At 38.0% G+C, this 24752-nt stretch overlaps 1 protein-coding gene across 4 annotated transcripts in view, besides 3 other annotated features; it reads left to right on the top strand.

The window, feature by feature from the left end:
- Nucleotides 1-24752, top strand: part of DEK (DEK proto-oncogene) — a 40671-nt gene that overhangs the window by 1596 nt on the left and 14323 nt on the right. For 2 of the 4 annotated variants that reach the window (NM_003472.4, XM_024446544.2), the window contains exons 3-7: nucleotides 4530-4631; nucleotides 4873-4982; nucleotides 6480-6574; nucleotides 7084-7204; nucleotides 13096-13284. In NM_003472.4, coding sequence (NP_003463.1) covers nucleotides 4530-4631; nucleotides 4873-4982; nucleotides 6480-6574; nucleotides 7084-7204; nucleotides 13096-13284 — 617 coding nt within the window. Of the gene's footprint in view, nucleotides 1-4529; nucleotides 4632-4872; nucleotides 4983-6479; nucleotides 6575-7083; nucleotides 7205-13095; nucleotides 13285-18331; nucleotides 18428-24752 lie in introns of all 4 variants that reach the window. The other 2 variants (XM_047419335.1, NM_001134709.2) reach the window with 2 other exon arrangements.
- Nucleotides 2399-2518: an enhancer, noted in NCBI's record as "active region_24120". NCBI's record gives its function as "activates an Ori minimal core promoter by ATAC-STARR-seq in GM12878 lymphoblastoid cells {active_cell/tissue: GM12878}" and the evidence as "EXISTENCE:reporter gene assay evidence [ECO:0000049][PMID:35858748]".
- Nucleotides 17246-17305: a silencer, noted in NCBI's record as "silent region_16971". NCBI's record gives its function as "represses an Ori minimal core promoter by ATAC-STARR-seq in GM12878 lymphoblastoid cells {active_cell/tissue: GM12878}" and the evidence as "EXISTENCE:reporter gene assay evidence [ECO:0000049][PMID:35858748]".
- Nucleotides 20203-20497: an enhancer, noted in NCBI's record as "tiled region #13525; HepG2 Activating non-DNase unmatched - State 17:Gen3', and K562 Activating DNase matched - State 14:Gen5'". NCBI's record gives its function as "activates a minimal TATA promoter and a strong SV40 promoter by Sharpr-MPRA in HepG2 and K562 cells {active_cell/tissue: HepG2 | K562}" and the evidence as "EXISTENCE:reporter gene assay evidence [ECO:0000049][PMID:27701403]".

Raw genomic sequence — 24752 nt, 5'->3', positions numbered from 1 at the left:
TTAAGCCTCAACCAGCCTGTGGTCACAATCTGGGTTAAGATTACAAGGTGTGCCTTTTGTTTGTTTAAAGTGGTATGTGCCCTAAGAAGGGCATATTTAAGTAAAGCATGGCTTTTTAAATATAAGTTTTCACATAAACTATTGCTTAACAACATGTTATTTTAAAATTATTTTTAATACAACAACAAAATTGGCTGCACTATCTCGCTGCTAGCCAAAGAGGCTCTGCACTTTTTCTCCAATTTTTTGTTTGTATTTTGGTCTTCTGGTGGGGGCAGGGTTGAGATGCCAAAGAAATGGTGAATTTTCTTCATGTCAGGAAAAAATTAGAGAAGTCATGTAAATATACTGTAAGTGGCCAACACAGTAATGCTTGGGGAAGAGTTGGTAGTTGAAAGAATCCCATGTTTTGTTCTAGACAAATTATTTTTAAAAACATGATGTTGTAGAAATTTTATCCCCTAATAGTTTTATTGTAGCTGTGATTTATTATTCTTTTTACTAATTTGAGGTGTTTGTGGGACAAGTAGAATTGTGAAAGTTTTTATTTTACTTAACCCTGAATATTTAACTTTAGAACTGAGGCATCATGGAAGCCAGACAGTGAAATACTTTCTGTATTAGGCTTTTTTTTTTTTTTGCGTTACTATAAAGAAACACTTGAGGCAGGGTAGTTTATAAAGAAAATAGGTTTTATTGATTCGTGGTTCTGCAGACAGTACAAGAAGCATGGCGCCAGTATTTGCTTCTGGTGAAAGCCTCAGGAAACTTCCAATCATGGCAGAAGACAAAGGGGGAGCAGGCATTTCATTTGGGAGTGGGAGCAAGTTGTAGAGGGAGGTGCCATGCTCTTTTAAACAAATCTTGAGAGAACTCACTCACCACCACGGATTACCATGCTAAGCCGTTCATGAGGGATCTGCCCCCATGATTTAATCACCTTACCAGGCCTCACCTCCAGCATTGCAAATCACTTTTCAACACGAAATTTGGAGGGGGCAAACATCCAAAGCATATCATTGCACCCCCGGTCCCCCAACTCTCATATGTTTCTCACATTTCAAGATTCAGTTGTGCCTTCGCAGTAGTCCCCCAAAGTCCGGTCTTGTTTCAGCATTAACACAGAAGTCCCAAATCTGTAAGTCCAGAGTTTCATCTGAAGATGAGTTTCTTCCACCTATGAGCCTGTGAGATCAAAAACAAGTTATTTACTCCCAAGATACAGTGATGGTACAGACATTGGGTAAAATTCCCATTCCAAAAGGGAGAAAGGCCAAAAGAAAGGTGCAATAGGCCCCACACAGTCTGGTTTGGTTTTTGTTTGGTTTTTGTTTTTCTGTGTTTGTTTGTTTGTTTGTTTTTTGAAACGGAGTTTCGCTCTCGTTGCCCAGGCTGGAGTGCAGTGGCCTGACCTCGGCTAACCGCAACCTCTGCCTCCTGGTTCAAGGGATTCTACTGCCTCAGCCTCTCGAGTAGCTGGGATTACAGGCATATGCCACCACAGCTGGCTGATTTTGTATTTTTAATAGAGACAAGGTTTCTCCATGTTGGTCAGGCTGGTCTCAAACTCCCGACCTCAGGTGATCCGCCCGTCTCAGCCTCCCAGAGTTTTAGGATTACAGACGTAAGCCACTGCGCCCGGCCTACAAGTCTGAATCCTAGCAGGGCAGTCTTTAAATCTTAAAGCTCCAAAATTATCTCCTTTTACTGCATGTCTGGCATCCAGAGCACGCTGGTGCAAGGGGTGAGGGGTCCCAAGGCTTTGGGCAGCTCAGGATGCAAGCTGCTTGTGGCTCTACCATGCTGGAGTTTGGAGGTGGCAGCCCCCTTCCCACAGCTCCACTAGCCAATAGAGCCTTGGTGGTGAATCTAGGGGTCCACCCCCCATTTCCCCTTTCCACTCCACACTGCCCTAGTAGAGGTTTTCTTTCTTTTTTTTTTTTTTTTTTGGAGACAAGGTCTCACTTGTCACCCAGGCTGGAGTGCAGTAACATGATCTCAGCTCACTGCAAACTCTGCCTCCCAGGCTCAAGCAATCCTCTCACCTCAGGAACCACAGGCATGCGCCACCATGCCCGGGTACTTTCTGTATTTTTTGTAGAGGCAGGGTTTTACCATGTTGCCCAGGCTGGTCTCAGACTCCTTAGCTCAAGTGACCTGCCCGTCTCTGCCTCCCAAAGGGCCTGGATTACAGGAATGAGCCACCACGCCTGGCCCTGAGTAGCAGTTTTCTGTGAGAGTTCCACCCCTGCAGGAGGCTTCTGCCCAGGCACCCAGGCTTTCTCATATATCCTCTGAAGTCTGTCCTAAGAAAGGGGTCAGATTAGCCAAAATTGGCAGTGATTTTGGGGAAAAGGGAAGTGAGAGAAATGACTAGTAAAAGATGACTCTTAGGTTTCTGTCTTTGGCAGGTGGGTGGATGGTATTAATGTTTTTTGAAAAAAATTCACAAAGTGAGCAAGTTTGGAGATGATTATGATTTTTCTTTTGAATATTTTGAGTTTAGGTGCCTGTAGGACATGAATTGTAGCTGTCCAGATGACAGACAGGCATATACTGTTGGCTCTCCATATCTGTGGGTTCCTCATCTGTGGATTCAATCAACCACAAATTGGTAAAAATGGATGGTTGCATCTGTACTGAACATGTACAGATTTTTTTATTATTCCTAAACAATACAGTATAACAACTATTTACATATCAGTTAAGTTGTATTAGTCATTATGAGTAATCTACAGATGATATAAAGTATATGGGAAGATGGTCATAGGTTACATGTAACTACTACACCATTTTTTTAAAAAATAAGGGACTTGAGCATCCATGGATTTTGGCATCTGAGGGGCGTCCTGGAACCAATCCCTCACAGATACTGAGGCAATATTAGTTAATATGAATCTCAGATGAAAGTTGTGGCTTGGAGATTGACTGGGAAGTCATTAGCTTGTAGTTAGTAATCAGAGACAAGCAAATAGTTTAAATCACTAAGTTGATGAAGTTGAGTGATAGTAGGGGTTGTTTTAGTGTGTTTGGTCTTCATTCTGTACAACATGGCCAGAATATACCTGTTGATAGCCCTTTCTCCTGAAGTATTCTTTCTGTGCGAATCCTTACATTACTAAATCTAAGCTGTCTTTAAAAGCCAGCACACGTGCTTTGTTCCTTTTTCTCTAGTCCCAAAATAATCAATTCCTCCTCAGTGCACAGCAATTTATTTGTGTATCTTTCTTAAGATGTTTTGTTATCTTTTATATTGGCGTATATTTATGTCTCATTTCTTTAGTAGCATCTTTTTCAAAAGATACGCAGTTTTTATCATCCATTTATCCCCTCTTAGTATTGAGTGCAGCTGCACAACACAGGCATTAAATAAATGGCAGAACCTCGAGCAGTATATAGTATTCTTTTATCTGACTTTATTTCATTCAAAAAATGATTTTATTTTAGATAAATGGAGCTTAATGTTTTGAATTTTGAAGTATATGCTACCTGTTTTCTAGATTTTTTTTTTTTTTTTTTTTTTTTTTTTTTTTTTTTTTTGAGACGGAGTCTTGCTGTGTCGCCCAGGCTGAGGTGCAGTGGTGCGATCTCGGCTCACTGCAAGCTCCGCCTCCTGGGTTCATGCCTTTCTCCTGCCTCAGCCTCCCAAGTAGCTGGGACTACAGGCACCAGCCACCACACCTGGCTAATTTTTTGTATTTTTTAGTAGAGATGGGGTTTCACCACGTTAGCCAGGATGGTCTTGATCTCCTGACTGAGTTAGCCAGGATGGTCTCGATCTCCTGACCGAGTTAGCCGGGATGGTCTTGATCTCCTGACCTCGTTATCCGCCCGCCTCAGCCTCCCAAAGTGCTGGGATTACAGGCATGAGCCACCGCGCCTCACCGTAGATTTTTGTGACTAAACAATTTAACTTTGAGTGACTTATGGTCATCATTAGGAATGTTATTCATAAACTACAAAGTAATGCTCTCCCAGTTGATTGCATTAAATGTAAACTTGGAGAGTTTTATCCTATCCACGTACTTCAGGCTGTTCTGCCTGGAAGTCTTTATTTGTGTTTCTTTTGTCAGTTTACTAAATTGTTATTGTTCTCTATATATCTTTTGAAGTTCTTAATCTCCCAGTCTAAATTTGATTATTCCTGAAGTACAGCAAACTGAATCTCAATTATTAAATAGAATTATGTCCAAAGATTAAACAGAGCTAGATTTTTTTCACAAACGAAGTGACTGGACTGTAATGGCAATAATTTTAGTTGGATAAAAATTAGTTTGCTTTCTAATTTTTTTTTTTAACTGAGTCCCTGTGAGTGCCAGGTGAGTAAAATGTTACTCTGAAAAAATTTTCATGGTGCTCTATTAATTAATCAAGTGTTTTCCTCTTTTATGTCATTTGCTTTCCAAAACCATGCTCAGAAGAAGAATAAAGTATTAGGTTTTGGGGACTTTGTTCTACATGTGTATCTAATAAAGTTAATACAATGTTTAAGCTTTTTGTTAATTAAGAAATACTAAATTAATTTCTAGAAAAGAGTCTCATCGTGGAAGGCAAGAGGGAAAAGAAAAAAGTAGAGAGGTTGACAATGCAAGTCTCTTCCTTACAGAGAGAGCCATTTACAATTGCACAAGGTAAGTTTATTCTAGCTTCCTTTCATTTTGTGGTGAAAGTGCCTAAATTTGTGAAAATGATGGTTTGTAGCTTAGTATCAGCAAGGTAGTGTTTTATACTTTTGGTATAATTTTATTTAATTTGCTCTGTAAGAGCAGAGTTACATGTAAATTATGCTGTGAAAATAATTCTCATTAAATTAACTTTGTAAATGTATTAGTAAGCCATAGGTATTTAATTGTGATTTTTTTTTTTCCCCAGGAAAGGGGCAGAAACTTTGTGAAATTGAGAGGATACATTTTTTTCTAAGTAAGAAGAAAACCGATGAACTTAGAAATCTACACAAACTGCTTTACAACAGGCCAGGCACTGTAAGACCTTTTTACACTTTAAACCTACTTGTATATTACTTCACAATGGAATCAATTTCTGTAAATGTTAGTGATCCACTAGTTCAATTTCCACACTTTATGACTGAGCAGACTGAGGTATATACTTATTAAATGATTTATCACAGGAAACACAGCTGGATATTAGCACTTGGATTATAATATCCAGGGCTCTGTCTTCTTTTTTCTTTTTCTTTTTCTTTTTTTTTTCTTTCTTTTAAGACACGGTCTCACTTTGTCACCCAGGCTGGAGTACAGTGTGCAATACATGGCTCACTGCAGCCTCAACCTCCTGGGCTCAAGTGTTCCTCCCGCTTAAGCCTCCCAAGTAGCTGGGACCACAGGTGCATGCCACCATACTGTGTCTGGCTAATTGTTTTACTTTTTGTAGAGGCAGGGTTTTGCCATGTGCCCAGGCTGGTCTTGAACTCCTGAGCTCAAGTGGTCCTCCCACCTTGGCCTCCCAAAGTGTTGGGATTACAGGTGTGAGCCAGTATGCCCAGCTCTAGGGCTCTTTCTCCTGTAGTAGTTTTTATTCCAAACTGAAATTTCAAATTACGAAATCCAAATTGTGATGAAAGGTTTTAGTGACCTTTAAATGTATTGAAAGAAATTCATGTTTTTGGATTTTCTCGACATTCAGAATAAGTGAATGTCGGTATGATTTGTATGAGATCATACATATGATCTCATTTGTATCTCATACAAATAAGAGGCAAAATCATTTGTATCTCATACAAATCTCATACAAAGTGAATTTGGTGTAATTGTATCTCATTTTTAGCAAATACCTGATAAATTGGATGATAGTTCTTTGCTAAAGGATTGTTATTATACTGTACATATGACTTAGTATATTATATAATCGAGGGAACTGCTTTAGGTTGTACGTGGGCAAAGTAAAGTTGGGTGTTAGAATGTCTGAAGTAGAATAGAATGTCTGGTGCATGACATAATTTATTTTCAGTGAGTCTGTTAATCTCATTTAATCCTTAAACCAATTTAATTTACACAAGTCCCATAACTAGTGAACGGTATTAGCTTTTTGTGGTACTCGCTATTCTTTACTTTGAAAGAATAAAGTCCTTCTTGATTTGGAAAAGAAGAATTACTAGTAACTTTATTACTTATGAAAAGGATATATTTTTAAATAGTAACTTTCCACATCCCCTGGTACTGTCAGGTAACTTTTGGTTGTGGTAAAAACTCCCCAGTGAAAATTTGTTCAAATTGTTCTTTTCAGAGACTTAAGTTTGTAGGATTTTTATAATGTTAATATGTTAATGACAAATACATTTTTCAGTTTTGAATAAGAAATGTTGAATATTGAACCCATATTGAATTGGTTGACTGTTCAGCCAGTATTGTAACTTACAGACAGGTATGAAAATAAAGATGTTGACTTTGAATTGGCTTTGAATTTATTCTTGTGTACATTACTGGGTAATAAATACCATTAATAATAAGGAACATTTTCAGGTGTCCTCATTAAAGAAGAATGTGGGTCAGTTCAGTGGCTTTCCATTTGAAAAAGGAAGTGTCCAATATAAAAAGAAGGAAGAAATGTTGAAAAAGTAAGTTATTTTTATAAATACTGTATTTTGATCAATATGCTTTAAGTTTATTTTTTAATGTTAAATCACATTCGGGCCAGGCACAGTGGCTCACACCTGTAATCCCAGCACTTTGGGAGGCTGAGGCGGGCGTATCACCTGAGGTCAGGAGTTTGAGACCAGCCTGACCAACATGGAGAAACCCCGTCTCCACTAAAGATACAAAATTAGCCGGCTGTGGTGGCGCATGCCTGTAATCCCAGCTACTTGGGAGGCTGAGGCAGGAGAATCGCTTGAACCTGGGAGGTGGAGGTTGCGGTGAGCCAAGATTGGGCCATTGCACTCCAGCCTGGGCAACAAGAGCGAAACTGTCTCAAAAAAAAAAAAAGAAAAAAGATTCATAGAAGCATTGGCCACTTTTTTAAATGTATGTAACTGAGCCAATTTGGTTGGCTTTCCCTTTATATTGTGGAGAACATATGTAAGCTTTCCTATATTAACACCTTGGTTTCTTCCATTTTCTGTTTCAGATTTAGAAATGCCATGTTAAAGAGCATCTGTGAGGTTCTTGATTTGGAGAGATCAGGTGTAAATAGTGAACTAGTGAAGAGGATCTTGAATTTCTTAATGCATCCAAAGCCTTCTGGCAAAGTGAGGATCAATTTTTATTTTTTTCATAAATCAGTTATTCATAGCCTCTTTATATGAAACAAAAATTGATTAATAACAGCATTGCTGTCAGTATTCGTTCATATCTACATTCAAAGACTATACCTTCTGTTGACGTATCTGCAGTAATTTCCTGATAGAAATAATATAGATGCCATAGGGGTATGTTGCTTCGGAAAATCAGATACAAGGGATATAAGGTTAAGAATAGTGAATTAATGTCAGAAGGGACAGAAAGTACTAGTAGTCAGGGTTAGGTATCTAGAAGACACTGGAAGAATAGGAAGAGGTTGGGCTGAGGATGAGGTGCAAGGCTGGAGGGAAGGGGTGCAACCTGTAATCAAGTGAAGACAAAATAGGGAGTATATTAGAACTGGATGTTTTCCTAGATCCTGGAATAAAGTATTAAAAAGTGACATTTAAAAGCTAACTCTTACAAGTTTCCTATATTGGGTTTCCAGAATCTGCAGCAGAGCCCAGGAGCCAGACAGGGAAGTAAAATGGCCTTACAGTTTTCTCACTCTTCCTAAAAGCTAGTAGGTTTGCCCTAATTATTTAATGGTAACGAATGACATAGGTGACTTAAAATGTCTGTTGAAGTGTTACATGACCTTGCCTTTTTAGTGTGATTTAGGTCTGTCAGCAAATGTTTTTATATTCTTCCCCATCTTGACAGGAAAGGAAGTGTGAGAGATCTAGCAGGCCTAGGAGTTCAGGGGAATGCCATCTCTGATGGGAGATGGCATTAATCAAAACCAGAAAATAGCTCTAGGACTTCGTTTTCGTCCGCCCTTGGTCCTTATTACCATTAGCTGCACGAGGACAGATAAACAGCAGTTAAAGTGTAAACTTTTGTTATACAACTACAAACGCAAGGGGTATGATGATTTTTGGTGTTTTAAATTGGCTTGTTTAAAGACAAAATACTTCTTATTTTCTAACTTTTACTATAGCTATACTTGTACTTTTTAAGGATTTAGTGTGAGGCAAGGTGATCACTATTTCCTCAGAAGCAATTTACTAGGTTGTTATGACAGATATTTTTATATTTATCTTTTTCTCAGTGGTTTTCCAATTTATTGGTTTCAGGATACTGTTGCCCTCTTAAAAAATTAGTGAGGACCCCAAGAGCTTTTTTTAATATGAGTTATTTTGATCTTCACTGTATTTGACATTAGAACTGAAAAATTTTTATTTTAAAATGTTAAAAATAATATTTTCTAGGAAAAATAACTTTTCAAAAGAATGAAAGAGTGGCATTTTATGTTTTTGTACATCTGTTTAATGTCTGGCTTAAGAGAAAACAGCTTGATTACCATTTGCTTCTGCATTCAGTCTTTTTGTGTTGTTGTTGTTGTTACTGTTGTTGTTACTGTTGTTTTGAGACAGATTCTCACTCTGTTGCCCAGGCTAGAGTGCAGTGGCACAATCTCTGCTCACTGCAACCACTGTCTCCCAGGTTCAAGCAATTCTTCTGCCTCAGTCTCTACAGTAGCTGGGATTATAGGCGTGTGCCACCATACCTGGCTAATTTTTGTCTTTTTAATAGAGACGGGGTTTTGCCATGTTGGCCAGGCTGGTCTCGAACTCCTGACCTCAGGTGATCTGACCGCCTCGGCCTCCCAGAGTGCTGGGATTACAGGCGTGAGCTACCGTGCCTGGCCGCATTCAGTCTTTTGCAATGTATTGTTTTGTTTAAAATCTATGAAGGGCCTGATGCAGTAGCTTATGCCTGTAATCCCTGCCCTTTGGGAGGCCGAGGCAGGTGGATCACTTGAGCTCAGGAGTTCAAGACCAGCCTGGGTGACAGAGTGAGACTGTCTCAAGAAGAAATTAGCCAGGCGCTGAGGCACGCTCGTGTAATCCCAGCCACTTGGGAGGCTGAGGTGGAAGCCTGAACTCAGGAGGTCAGTGCTGCAGTGAGCTATTTTCATGCCACTGCATTCCATCCTAGGTGACAGAATGAGATCCTCTCTCAAAATAATAAGTATATGAAGAAAACCGAGCCTCACATAAAAAGAATATTTTTAAAGTCTTTTTAGATAATTGTGTATATTCTCTTTTTGATACCATACAATACCAAAACTCTACATAAGTTGTAGTTTCCTAAAGATTAGTTGTAATGTTTAATGTAGGTCTGAAACCAGGTTAATTAACTTGGGTCTTGTATGTATAGTTTTGTAACATGCATTTACCGCTTGTAAATATTGGTTCCCTGAATTATGTCTTCCAAATGTTGACGTTTTATTGAACACTGTCATTAAATCATGCTCATTAATATAAATATCATCTCATCAGAAAAATTACTTAGGCCTTGGTAAACTATCAAGTTCACAGTAGTAGATGTGAATTTTCCAGAATTCTAGTTCCCACTTGAAATCATAACGTTTATCATTGGCGATAAATGCTCTCAGTTTTCCTTGAAGTGACAAGCTCACCTTGTTCATGTTTGAAAACATCTCTATCAAATACCTAAGTCTGAGTTAGCCATATTTGTTCTTTTAAAAAGTGGTGTTCTCTGGGAGGTGAAGCTTGCAGTAAGCCGAGATCGTGCTGCTGCACTCCAGCCTGGGCGACAGAGCGAGACTGTCTCAAAAAAAAAAAAAAAATGTGGGGTTCTATGAAAAAGGAGCTTGGAGCGTGTTTAGCTCACAACTCAGATACACAAATGCTTTTCCTTCAGAAAACCATTGAACTTCAGTTGTAGCCATATTTATGTATATCTTCCATTTTGTCACAGATATTAGAAAGACATGTACTTGAGAGTTAACACAGTATTTATTGTTTTATCAAGGACATTATTAAGTGAAACCATTTGCCTTGTTTGTTTCTGCTGGTGTGTGGTTGTGAGGAATACAGTGACTAATATATGTTGCTTCCTTGATTAGTACTAAGGTGCCATCAATTTTACCCACCTTTGCTTTCCTTTGCTTTTGCAATTAGTACAAATGTCAACACAGTGAAAAGAGCAGATAAATAGTGTTGCTATTATTATGAAAATAGTTTCTACCTCGGAGACTCCGAAAAAGGTCTCAGGAAACCCCAAAGTCCTTGAACCACACTGTGAGAATCTGTTTTTTCTTGTCATATAGAATCTTAACTCTTATGTCAGTTTTTCATATGTGATTCTGTGATGATTACTCCTTAATCTGATAGTATCGAGCTCAGGCTATTTTCTTTTTTTTTTTTTTTTTTTTTTTTTTGGAGACAGCGTTTTACTCTGTTGCCTAGACTGGAGTGTTGTGGTACAATCATGGCTCAATGCAACCTTGACCTCCTGGGCTCAGGTGATCCTCTCACCTCAGCCACCCAAGTAACTGGGACTATAGGTGTATGCTACCATGTGTGGCTAAATTTTACATTTTCTTAGAGACAAGGGCTCACTATATTGTCCAAGATGGTCACAAACTCCTGAGCTCATGTGATCCTCTCACCTTGGCCTCCCAAAGTGTTGGGATTACAGGCATGAGCCACTATGTCTGGCCTAGAGCTATTTTCTATGCTACAAGAAGTTTCCTTTTTCTCCTCTTTAACAATTTCTCAATGGTTTAATCAACACAACATTAATCATTGATTGCTTTCCTATCCTTCTATTGTACTTTACCTTATTTTATTTGTTAATCAGATTTTGTTTCCAAAAAGAGATAATGCTGTTGACACTGGATTTTGATTAATAGATTTAACTATTTTTGGAGTAGTATAGGAAAACTCTAAGGCATTTGTATATTACTACTTTTTGGATTTTGGTTTTAAAACTCCTCGTTTACTTTTGGGAATTGCATTTTTTTTTTTATTGGCTGCTTGAATAACTTAACATCTTTTCACTTTCCTGGATAGATTTATCCAGAACCTGTTTCAGTCCTCATACTAATAATTCGATATACAGATTACATCCTTGCTACCTGTGTCTGGTTTCTGAGCTGAGATTGTGAGGGATATTATGTTTTTCTAATACATTTGAGACCTGGAGATCATGTAACAAGTAGTAAGAGCTTGGACAGTGAGAGTTACCTTTTCTCCAAACGGTGCTATCAAAGAATTTATCCACATGGATTAAGGTTCTGATAATAGTTGTTAATGGTAGTATCTCACATAGCAAGGATATGTGTATGCATTCACGATTTCTTATAGAGAATCTTCTCTGAGAAATGTCTTTGATCCACCAACTTCAAGTTCCTGGAGTGACCTAATTTTGCTGTTTCCTAGTGTGCCTTTAGAAGGGTACGTTGTTGGAGCAATCTAGGTTATCCTGTGGTTTCTTTGCAGAGAGCTCAAGAGTACCATATTATACAAAGCAGCCACTTTTTCTTAATTTTTGTGTAGGTGACAGTGACCCCTAGACTGGAGGTTCCTGGGAGGTAAAGGACCTGTCGTTCTAGTCTCTGCAAGAAAAATATTGCCTAAAGTTATCACAAACATTTACACAATTGGATACCTTAAGGTTATGTTATGGAATTTTACCTTAATGTTTCTGCTTATTGCAGAAAATAAAGTAACAAAGGTAGAAATAAAAGAATATAAAAGATGCTCAATCCCAGAAATAAATATTAATTCTGTAATGCGCATTTTAACATTCTTGATGTTAGGTAATTTTATGGTTTTCAATTTTAGAATTTAGCAAAACTTCCTTGAGAAAGCACTTAAAAATTAAATTTATTGTTTACTGTAATCAACTCATTTTCATCAGGTGATCTCTGCTTTTAATATACATGGTTTAATTGATTATCAGAATAATAGCAGCATATTCTTAGTTTCATAATTAACATACTTATCATTTATTGTATACTTATAGGCATCAGTGATAATATGAGCCTGACATTGTTGAAAGTAGAGGCCAGAAGTAATGAATATAAACCGTATAGTTCATTCATAAATTCAGGATGTATAATTGGTAATAAAGTTATACATTTTTTTTATGGGCCAGGCGTGGTGGCTCATGCCTGTATCCCAGGACTTTGGGAGGCCAGGGTGGGTGGATCACTTGAGGTCAGGAGTTTGAGACCAGCCTGGCCAACATGGTGAAACACTGTCTCTACTAAAAATACAAAAATTAGCTGGGCGTGATGGTGCATACTTGTAATCCCAGCTACTGCACAACAGAATGAGACTCTGTCTCAAAAAAAAAAAAAAAAAAAAAAAAAAAAGGTTTTTCTCCCATTCCTTCGATTGGAGTGTTGGGCCTTCTAAAGCAAGGAGCTTCTTTGGCAGTGACAGTTTTTTGTTTTTTGCTTTTTGTGTTTTTTTGAGACGGAGTCTCACACTGTTGCCCAGGCTGGACTGCAGTGGCGCGATCTCGGCTCACTGCAAACTCTGCCTCCTGGGTTCACGCCTTTCTCCTGCCTCAGCCTCCCGAGTAGCTGGGGCTACAGGCGCCCGCCACCACGCCCGGCTAATTTTTTGTATTTTTAGTAGAGACGGGGTTTCACCGTGTTAGCCAGGATGGTCTCGATCTCCTGACCTCATGATCTGCCCGCCTCGGCGTCCCAAAGTGCTGGGTTGGCAGTGACAGTTTTAATGCTTGTAGGGATGAAATAAATTACAAATCTAACTTAAAATATTATCATGACAAAGTATTAACAGCCGTTGGAGCTTAACATAATGTGTCTTGAGCTTCTAGTCCCATGTCAGAACCTAGAATACATATTTCTCTACAATTGAGAAGGGTCTTGCTAGGTGTTTAGAACACAAATGGTATTAGTAACACAGTTTTAGGTTAACCTGACACGGTTAAAGATTATTCTCTGCAAAGCTGCTGGGCTTGTAAATACAATTTCTTGAGAGAGGAATAAGAAATTGAGTTGATAAGTTTTCAAGAAGAGAATTGATTGAAATATTATACCTCATTGGTGTTATCTTTATAAATTTTTATGCAGCCATTGCCGAAATCTAAAAAAACTTGTAGCAAAGGCAGTAAAAAGGAACGGAACAGTTCTGGAATGGCAAGGAAGGCTAAGCGAACCAAATGTCCTGAAATTCTGTCAGATGAATCTAGTAGTGATGAAGATGAAAAGAAAAACAAGGAAGAGTCTTCAGATGATGAAGATAAAGAAAGTGAAGAGGAGGTAAAATATTTTACTATATTTTTAAATCATTTCTTTCCATGGGGAGAGTTAAATATTTCTGCTATAAGGTACAGCCAGAAAACACTTCCTTATTGGTTGTTTTTAATTCTGAAGATGCAGAAATGATTAAGTATGAACCCATTTCTTTTCCTTAAAGAGCTTTTAGTTTCATTACCATGTCAGAGTATGAGTCAGAAAAGAGTGAGGTTGGTGTGGACTGGATTTGAAGTGGGCCTTGAGCTGGACGTTGAAGACTAGAGTAGATAAATGGGAAGGGAAGCGGAAGTGGTGCATATCCTGAATAGGACCACATAGGAGCAGATTCTTCGAGGATTTTTTTCGTAATATATTGATACTTTATAATTGACTTGGATCATTTTATTTTACGGAAAAAGCAAGGGACTTAAGGGCCTTTTTCCCCCCCTCAACCTTTAGGGGACTATGTAGTGAGAATAAACAGCATTTGAAGTTTATATAATGAGTGGATAAATTTTGTATTACCTGTCATTTTCTTTTATTTGGGAGTATTTGTAAAAGTTGAGACTCTTAGTTTCCAAAGTGAAACTTCATGAAGAAGAGAACTGCTGAAGCAGTTAAATAAGAGGGTTAACCTCTTCAGTCAGGTAGATCATGGAGAGTGGGTACAGGAGATGGGTTTCTATTATTGTTAATGATGTTTTGGTAGACTGTATTTTAACTTTGATGTTTTCGTTCAAAGGTTGGAACTTGCTCTATAGATTGGGTAATCAACCTTGCCTTATTTAGGGACTTGGATAATGTCAACTTGACATTTTGGACCAGATGATTCTTAATTGTGGGTGATATTCCCAAGCTCCCCTTGTGACAACCAAAAATGTTCTTCAGACATTGTCAAATGTCCCTGGGGCGAGACAAGGAGGGAATCATCTCCACTGAATTAGAAGGAATAAAGATATAGTGAACTCTGGTATTATATGATATGTGTGGGTGTTTAGTATGTATGTTTGTCTTGAGTTATTTACAATTCATGCTTGTTTTAGCGTCAAATTTTATAAAGACTTCTATAAAGCTAAGTATGAAATGCTTCATCATTTAAGAAAGAGGGTTACGAATCTAGTAGGTGCTTCATAAATATCTTAATATATATTTGGCACAAAGGAAAATAAGTAATCTGAGCATTAAGGTCTTTATGGATTGGATATCCGGGAGGAAAACATGTTTGTTTGTATGTATATATATAACAGTGGAAATTTTTAAACTGATAGTATCTTCATTCAGGAAATATTTGGTGTCTACTGTGTGCCATTCAGATTCCTAAACTCTCTTTATGGGCAGAGTTAAAGCACGAAACATTATCATAGAATATAAATGTCTAATTTTTTCATAGAGACGTTAGCATGGGCTCTGGAAACTGAGTTCAAATCTGACCTCTATATTGGATTATTACTGTATTAGTATAAGCAAGTTATTTAAACTATACCTCAGTTTCCCATCTGTAAAATGGGGAGTGATAATAGTATTAGCCTCATAGGGTCATATTAAAGGATTTTATTTAAAATACTTAGAGCGGTGCCTGGTGCATATAGTATGTAAGTATTAGTTGCTATTATTATTAGAATTAAAATGATGTTTTATGACAAGTAAAACTTCTAAATCGAATCTTCTTGTCATTACTAGGTGCAGGTTAAAAAGTGAGGGCAGGCCGGGCATGGTGACCCATGCCTGTAATCCCAGCACTTTGGGAGGCCGAGGTGGGTGGATCACCTGAGGTCAGGAGTTCGAGACCAGCCTCACCAACATGGTGAAACCCTGCCTCTACTAAAAATACAAAATTAGCTGGGCGTGGTGGTGCATGCCGATAATCCCAGCTACTCGGGAAGGCTGAGGCAGGAGAATTGCTTGAACCGGGGAGGCAGAGGTTGCAGTGAGCTGAGATCGCACCATTGTTCTCCAGCCTGAGCAACGAGCGAAACTCCGTCTCAAAAAAAAAAAACGAGAGCATTTTATACTCACTTTTAAAATTCGCTTTCTAAATTGTTGTCCCATAGTTCTGTAGAGGTAGTTGAACTTGGTGTATGCAGATGATACCTGATTTATACCCATATTGGTTCCAGGATAATAATCACAAGTGGAACCATCTCACTATAAATCAAACCTTTACCTTCTGTAGTGCCCTAATCTAGGGTCTGTGACTAGAAACCCAGGTCAATTGATGAAAATCCATGGGAGAAGAAAATGTAAAAATGCTTTCAGACATTAGGTGTATGAAATCACACAATATAAAAGCTATATCATATTTTATTAGAGGGATTTTTTTGCTACCTTTGCTAGTACTTGACAGATTTTATAAAATGTAAAATAAAATTTGGACTGAGAAATTGTTTCCCCCCCTTTTTTTTCCCTGATAAATGTCTCTCCAACAAGCATTGTTGCTTTAAATTTAGCACTGTCTTCAGCTTTTTATTGCTGATTCAGTTTCTGTGAAAGGCCTTTGAAAGGTAAGTTCTGGCAGGAGGAACAGTGTATCTGTGGCAACTTTGTTTTTCCTTATTCCATTTTATGAAGACTCAGTTCTAAATGTCAGCCATGTTAGGAACTTCATAAATGGAGCTATTTTTGGTCATTACTATGGAAGGACCTCTTTTCTAAGAAGCCATAAAGAAAAGTTGCAAGTTAGTCACAGAAGTTTTGGATTGCCTGTAGATTTCTTTATGATAGGAAATTAGTGAGTTAATATTCTGTTTATTTTCTGACACAGATTTTTCTTTGATAAATAAAAGACTCTTATTCATTAAGATCAGCTTCTTGTTCTGTTTTTCTTGGAGTAAATAACTGTGAATTTGGGTAGATTGATTTTACTTTGTTCAGTTTCCTCTGTAAAATGAGGATTTTGAACTGTATAGTCAAATATACTCTATTCATTGTTGAAGTAAGAAATCTTATGCAAGCCGAGTAAGTTTATAGTTCTCCTTTGGCTAATTATATGAGGTTAAATTGTATTTATTTTCCTCCTAGTTTCATGTTTAACTTTAGATGTGTAGAAGACTAAGGTGTTTATAAGTAAATTCAGTGTTAAGATGAAATCACTGAAATCCATATAGTTAATTGAAATGACAGTTTTACAAAAGTAATTTAAAAGAAAATGTCAGATTTAGCATATTAGCTGATAATTGCTAAAGCACTTGTTTGAGGTTTTCTGTACCTGTACCTCTACCTCTGTTTTTATGATATGCAGTGAGTGAGTCACAATAGTTTTGCAATTCTTTTCCTTGTAATTAAATAAAAGAGTATTCTTTGTGAGAGTAACTTCAGAAAGAAATCCCTTTATAAAAGAGCCATTTTGAATTTCCTTATTAGCTTGTCTCTTGGACATTGGCTTTTTAGAACAGTAAAAGGAGAGCAATTGGGAAGGAAGTGGTGGATGATTTTCTTTTTTTCTTTTGATGAGAAATAGGAAAATAAACAGGTTATTTTCTCTAAATTGATTATGAAAATCAGCTGGTTCCTATGTGGGATTAGCTTCTTCAGGGCAGGATTGCTAAAATGAGTGTATTAGTCCTTTCTCACGCTGTTAATAAAGACATACCCAAGACTGAGTAATTTTAAAGGAGTTTAGTTGACTCACAGTTCCACATGGCTGGGGTGGCCTCACAATCATGGTGGAAGGCGAATGAGGAGCAAAGACCCATCTTACGCGGCAGCAAGCAAGAGGGTATGTATAGGGCAACTCCCTTTTATAAAACCATCAGATCTGGTGAGACTGTTTCACTGTCATGAGAACAGCATGAGAAAAACCCACCCTCGTGATTCAGTTACCTCCCACTGGGTCCCTCCCACAACGTGGGGATTATTACAATTCAAGGTGAGATTTGGGTGGGGACACAGAGCCAAACCGTATCAATGAGCCGTTGAGGTTAAACCACATTTGGTCATAAACCACATTTGGTCATGCTATTCACAGGTGTTAACCTTGAGGCATAGAGAAATTACTGCAGAGTACAGAAAAAAGGGGGAAATAGTACATATTGGAGAAAACAATTCTAACAGTCTTTTAGACTCTTTAAAAGCATATTTTATTTCTTTTTCATCTTATCCTAATACCTCTGTCTTCAATTTTTATTTTCTAGTGTTTTTATAGCGCATACGTATCTCGAAAGTATGAAACAAACTGTGGAGTTTTACGAGTATTTAGAATTTATCTGAATGTTGCCATATGTTATCAGGAATGTTTTCTGCTGAAATAATTGTCAGCCTTACTAATAATGTTCGAAACAGGAGTTTATTTTTCTTTCATGACAAGAAGCCCACAGACAGGGACATTCTAGGGCCAGTACAGCAGTTCAAGAAAGGAATTGAGGATGTGGGTACTGTCCTTTCCTGATCTCTCATCTTTAGTATATGGCAATTAACTTCATGATCACAAGGTGGTTGTTTTACCTTTAGACATTGTATTCATGTTCCAGATAAGGAAGAGCAAAAGGTTTTCTTCTAGTGATGTTTTGGCTTTTTTCCCTGAATGGGATGCCTTTTACCAGAGATCTCCATATACATGGCATCAGCCAGCACTTTGTTGTCTGCCCACCTAACTGCAAGAGAAGCTCTGAGATCTAGGTGTCAGCTTTCCTACCTTTATAAGAGGAAGGCAGATCAAAAGTGGGTGGTTCAGTGAGCCATCTTACAATGTTTGCCAAGTCAGAGAAACTCCATTATAATTTTTGGTAAACTATCTATTTGGACCATTCAAGGGATTATCTGGTAGTGGTAAGGTGAATGTGAAAGTTTTGTTAGTCCTTTCACATTGTGTTTTAGAAAACTAAACTATCTCTTCCTCTCACACGTTGATCAGAGGAATTGCAAAATCTGTATAAACCATTTAAACCTTTCGTTGGAAGGCAGAATTGAATAATCACCATACTAAAACCCATTTAAACTTGCTTTCATAATCTTCTGTGAAATATAACTAGACTTGCACATTCTTTCCTCTTGGCATTCTGAGTTTTCTCAGCCAAATTGTTGAAAGAATAGTGTATTTTAAGCTAATTTTTATTTTGTTCATCTGTTCACCCAGTACAACCTTTCTGCTGTGAGGACAGAATTCTGGCTCTGTGACAGGCGTCTTTTTTGGAGACCCTCCTTCAAGAGCCCTGCTGCCTATAAATCATAGGTAAGCCTTGCTTTCCCAAGATTTTTTTTGCCTTCCTTCAAAAAGTGCTTATGTCATTCCTCTGATTCTGTACCTTCATGGTTATCAGAGACAGGGAGAATCCCCTTCACGTTTTTGAAACTTCTGTATTACTGATCCTTTAAAAATTTAGGTTATAGTACATTGTACTATCTGACATTAATGGCAGCTGTTCATTTTTATTTGTTCCCCTTTAGAACATCTGAAATAGTTGATGGTCCTGATTGAACCACTCAGCATATAGAGAAGTAGCAAACTCGAATCTTTAAATCTCATGACAATTTGGAAATCAGCTTTTTCTTTATTCTTTTTTTAAAAAAACTTAACCTAATTTTCCCCCCATTTTGTTAAAAGACTCAGTCTTGTCTCCACTTAGGTTAAATAACAAGATGTTAACCATTGTGAGTATTTTCAACATTATTTCCTCAATGCCATATAATTTTTATTATAATCACTAAAGTTTTCAAGATATTTTGAAAGAGACTTAAAATGGGGGTCAGTACTTCACTTATTTTTGAGACAGAGTCGTACGTCTTACTCTGTTGCCCAGGCTGGAGTACAGTGGTGAGATCATGGCTCACTGCAGCCTTGAACTCCAGGGTTCAAGTGATCCTGCCACCAAGTGGCTAGCAATTTTTAAATTTTTTGTAGAGAGAGGTTCTTGCTCTGTTGCCCACTGGCTTTTGATTTCTGAGGTAACCACTTTTTGATTGCTCAAGTCAGTGAATTGGGAGTATGCTAAATGCTGTTAGGGTTACAGAAGATATTTTCCAAGCAAATGCCATTTGATACTTAGCATTATAGGATTTCTAAAGAAGGAAAATCTTCATGCCTCTTGAGGAAAGGCTTTGGGTAGAAGTGGAAGTACTACCAATTCAAGTTGACCTTGGGAATGGAGAGGAAAGTTGTACGTGTGAACAAAGATAAGGAACAGGGAAGGCAGGGTGCCTTTGACTAACTCGTGGTTAGAGTTGTGTGCCCAGAAGTAGAGCAATGAGAGATGAAACTAAGGTAATGTAGGTTGAACCCATGCTATAGAGAACCCATGAAGCTGGGCATTGTTGTGTGACTAATATGTTTGGTGGTAGGTTCATTATTCTCACTCATTCAAAATGATTATCTTATTCTATACCTGAGCATTTTACTAAGTGGGAGAAAAAAAAAATGAGACACGTCCTCTGGTCTTCCAGGAAGTACCACTCAGTAAGCATTTATTAGCAACTGCAAGGAAGAAACTATTCAAAGTGTATATACCATGTGCTTTCACATCTTGCATCTCATTTAGTCTTGACTCCATGAGAGGTGAGGTATGTCTCCTCATTTTTGTATTTGAGGTTATAATAAATATATAAGAAACCTTTTTTAGTGCTTTCTCTTCACAGTAGTCACCTCTTACCTGAACGGAGTACATTTCAAGACCCCCAGTGTATGCCTGAAACTGCAGATCATGCCAAGCCCGATTGCTGTCATTTGGGACATGTTTCTGTTCACGTTTCCCACCCTCAAATTATGCCTTTTTCATCATAACTAAGCACTTATCCTGCACTGTGGCCATAACTTTCGCAGTTTGAGGTTTGACAGCAGAGCCAGCACAAAGTTCTTTTCCCTTCACAATTTCACATATAGAAGATTTGTTCTTACTATAGATCTTAGAAACCTCAACATATGATTTTTTTCTTTCCTTGAGTAAAGAGCTTTCACTTAAAAGAACCCACTTTATGGCTTCTCTTTGGCATGTTTGAATTGCCAACATTACTACTTCTGGGCTTTGGGGCCATTATTAAGTCACATAAGGGTACTTGGGCACAAGCACAATGATACTGCAACAGTTGATAGGATAACCAAGATGGCTGCTAGTGACTAATGGGCCAAGGTTCTGGGAGCATCTACAGTGTGGATATGCTGGACAAAGGGATGATTCACATCCCGGGCAGGAGTGAGCAGGATGACATGAGATTTCATCACACTACTCAGAACAGCATGCAATTTTAAATTTATGAGTTGTTTACTTCTGGAATTTTCCATTTAATATTTTCAGACTATGGTTGACAACAGGTAGTTGAAACCACATGCAGAAAGAGAAACCATAGATAAAGGGAGACTGCCGTATTATTCTTTCTTCTTTTTTGAGACAGAGTCTTGCTTTGTTGCCCAGGCTGGGGTACAGTGGCACGATCGATACTCACTGCCACCTCCACCTCCCAGGTTCAGCAATTCTCGTGGCACAGCCACCCTAGTAGCTGGGTCCACAGGTGCATGCCACCACGCCTGACTAATTTTTTGTAGAGACGGGGTTTCACGATGTTGCCAGGCTGGTCTCGAACTCCTGGCCTCCCAAAGTGCTGGGATTACGGGGTTGAGCCACCGTGCATGGCTTCCTATTCTTTCTAAAGCTTCTTGTTTATGTACTTCTATCTTCAGAGTTCTCTCTAGAATTCCTGATTTAGATCAAAATTTGATTTTAAGCAATAGCTTTAAGAAAGTTAATGAGTATAAATCCACTTGTGCTTATCAGAACTTAAAACTAAAAGCTATTAAAAACTTGATAATTGGAGGAATTGTCCTGTTGATTGCTTTGTCTGGTTCCTGCCTTTACTGTATATAGCTCCAATAATTCAAAATCTAGGAATCAGCAGGCAGTGTAGCCTGTATGCCAAGTCCAGCCTACAGCCTGTTTTTATACAGCCCTCAAGCTCAGAATGGTTTTTCCATTTTTAAATGATTGTTTAAAAAAATGAATATGCAACAAAGATTATATGTAGCCGGGAAAGCTGAAAATATTTACTATCTGGCACTTCAAAGAAAAGTCTTGGTGACAAATCTAGTCCATAAATGTGCTTTTCATTTTATGTGGTATAGCTAGATGAGTCACCTCTGGAGCTTCAAAAACATATACAGGTGCTCAGGAATCAGGATGTTTGGCTGTAACACCCTTGTTCTTACAGCTTCACAATACCTTCCATAAAGTAGGGATAATGAATTGCAGGCCAAGTACTTTGAGAGTATGGATTAATCAAATTGATGGTATTGTGAAAGATTTAGAGGAGGTAATTGTTAAGCTAGGTTTAGAATCATGAGTGGGGTTTTCCTAAGTACAGGGGAGGAATGAAAGTAATGAAGATTTGAAAGTTCATGTAAAATTAAAGGGGACATTGTTTAACTTGCCTTGTCAGCTCTCCCTGTGTTTTTTTCTGTTACCTCCAAATTCTGGTTACCCATATTTACCTTGACAGACAAAAATTGTCCATTGTGTCCTAATACCAAGGTATGTCCTTTGAGATGCCCCCATTTTCCAGAGACCTATTCCTCCTATACCTAATAACCTTCAGGGCAGCCGAAGTGATGAAAACCTGCAGGACTAAAGCACAAGATACAAATTCATTAGTAGTTTTACTGTTCAGCTTTCATGATTTCTTAACTCAGCATTAATCTAAAAAAGAGACTTTACCAAATTCCTACCTTAACTTTGTCACAGAAGAATTTACAGCTGGTTGCTAAAGATAAATGAAATTCTGTATAAATGACATGACGTATTACTATAGATGTTTGCGGGCCATGTCGTATCTACTATAATGTAGTGAAGTAAGTGCGATATATCATGGCTAGTTAATACAGTTGTTATTGAGTTTGTCTCACTGTGTTTATAATTTCCAGTCTGTGTATCTGCCCTGCTTTTAAAAAAAAGAAAATTAGTTTTTTAGAGATAGGGTCTTCTGATTTTGCCCAGGCTGGTCTTGAACCTCTGGCCTCAAGTGATCCTCCCATCTCAGCCTCCTAAAGTGTTGGGATTACAGGATTGAGCCACTGCACCCTGCTTTTTGAAAACACTTAGAAAGTTTAAGTTATTGGAGGAAATTATATTTGCATAATCAAAGAATTTCTCATTCTGCAAAAGGAAGCACTCAGTAATAATAGTTAATATTTAGTGTTTACTATTTGCCAGGTACTACCAAAAATACTTTTCATCTGTTAATGTATCTACTCCCCATAAAACCATAGGAACTATTGTTTCTTTTGTTTTGTAAATGAGACAAGGGCCCAGAGATGTACTGGGGCTGGAATTTGAAACCAGGCAGCTTGCTGCTAGAGCCTGTACTCTTTGAACTATTATGTCGTATATTTTTCTTTAGTGCTTGTGCAGTATATTTGCAGTCTTTTAGAAATTTTAATAGATGACAGGCCTGGTTGTCCGTTTAGAAAAACTGTAGAACATTATCCTTTACAGCAGATATGAAATGTAGAAAGATGTGGTTTTGTTATACAGAAGTAAGATTTTATGGAGATGGCTTGTTATTTATTATTATAAATGTTTATGCTTTGACAAACTGTCACTACTCACAATTTGCAGGTTTTAAAATGATGTCATGTTGTGTATCACATCTAAAATTTTAATGGCAAGCCTTAAAAGGCTTTGGAAGTATTTTAGTTATCTAATTCTGATTTTCTAATTTGAATGGAGATTGAGTAATTATTGATGATATTGTTTCTTTTGCTCAACCTTCAACCCTTTCAGTAATAACTTACTTTCTTGTACCTGCAAGTCCAGATTTTATTACCGTTTAACTAAAAAATGATATATAATCATGATTATTGTATTCTGTGTATTAAGTGTGCTAAAGAACTTAAGAATTTTTAGGATTCCCTTTCAGAGCCTAATATATAGTTCACATGAACTGGGTGGACACTTAATGAACCTTAAAACTTAGTTTAAGTTCGTCATAAAAAAACGACAAATCATTGATACTTGTCCCATAGCCCCACACCATCTAGAACATCTCTTAGGATTAGGAAGTAAGTTAAAATGGCCTGTAAATCGCAAAAGTCCATGGGAAATTCATGTACTTACTTTTAGAAGCATGTCAGCCCCTTGACACCTTAAAAATGTATTTTTTAGTAGCAGTTAAACTACATGCTTCCCAGCCAGTGGTATATTGTTGAGGTAGTGCAGGGTGATGATAGGCTTGTATAAATAGGTACAGTGATGGTATATTAGCAAAAAGAAAGACAAACACTAAAATCCAGCCAGGTGAGGTGGTGTGTGCCTGTAGTCCCAACTACTCAGGAGCCTGAGGTGGGAGGATTGTTTGAGTCTAGCATGGGTAACATAGCGAGACCATCTCTTTTTTTTAAAAAAAAAAAAAAAAAAAAAAAGACACTAAAATCCAATGAATAGCTTGAGGCCACTTTTGGAACAGATTGATGTGTATACTTTAATCTAAAGGATAGGTTCAACACAGTGCTTATGTCTTTAAAAACAGGTTGACTTGGCCGGGCACAGTGGCTCACGGCTGTAATCCCAGCACTTTGAGAGACCAAAGTGAGTGGATCACCTGAGGTCGGGAGTTCCTGACCAGCCTGGCCAACATGGAGAAACCCCGTCTCTACTAAAAATACAAAAGTAGCCGGGTGTGGTGGCGCATGCCTGTAATCCCAGCTACTCAAGAGGCTGAGGCAGGAGAATCACTTGAACCCGGGAGGCAGAGGTTGCGGTGAGCCGAGATCATGCCATTGCACTCCTGCTCCTGCCTGGGCAACAAGAGCGAGACTCCATCTCAAAAAAAAAAACCAGGTTGCTTTAGGATAACTCTCAGGAATCAAGAGTGTTAAACATTTGGAGAAACGTTCTGTCAAGTGATCGCAGTAGTTTTAGTGTGTAAATGGGAGAATTTAAAATATCTTGGAATGTTTAATAGGAAGCTTTTCCTTTGGGAACATTAATTAAACTAAGAATTAATGCTTTCTAATTTCACAGGCTCCACATGAGACAAAGTATGAACTCTGATTTTGTCTTTTTTTTTTTTTTTTTGAGACAGTCTCTCTCCTGGAGTGCAGTGTCATGATCTCCACTCACTGCAACCTCCATCTCCAGGGTTCAAGCAATTCTCTTGCCTCAGCCTCCTGAGTAGCTGAGACTACAGGTGCCCACCACCACACCCAGCTAATTTTTGTATTTTTAGGAGAGACAGTGTTTCACCATGTTGACCAGGATGGTCTCAGTCTCTTGATCTCATGATCCGCCCGCCTTGACCTCCCAAAGTGCTGGAATTACAGGCATGAGCCACCATGCCTGGCCTGTCATTTTAATCTATCCATATTTATGTATTTTGTTTGTGTCTAATCACCTATGGGTTAGTGTTTAAGAACACAAGTTCTGGAGTCACATCTATATTTGAATCTTGCATGTTTATTAATGTGACTGTGGACAAGGTAACCACACTGAGCCTTAGTTTCCTCATATAGTCATAAGTATTTATTGAGCAACTACTGTATACCAGAGACTATTTTAGGAGTTAGGGAAACATCAGTG

The sequence above is a fragment of the Homo sapiens genome, chromosome 6, assembly GCF_000001405.40.
Source record: "Homo sapiens chromosome 6, GRCh38.p14 Primary Assembly".
NCBI lineage: Eukaryota > Metazoa > Chordata > Mammalia > Primates > Hominidae > Homo > Homo sapiens.
Note: the sequence above shows the minus strand (reverse complement) of the source record. Positions and strands in the feature narration are given on the sequence as shown.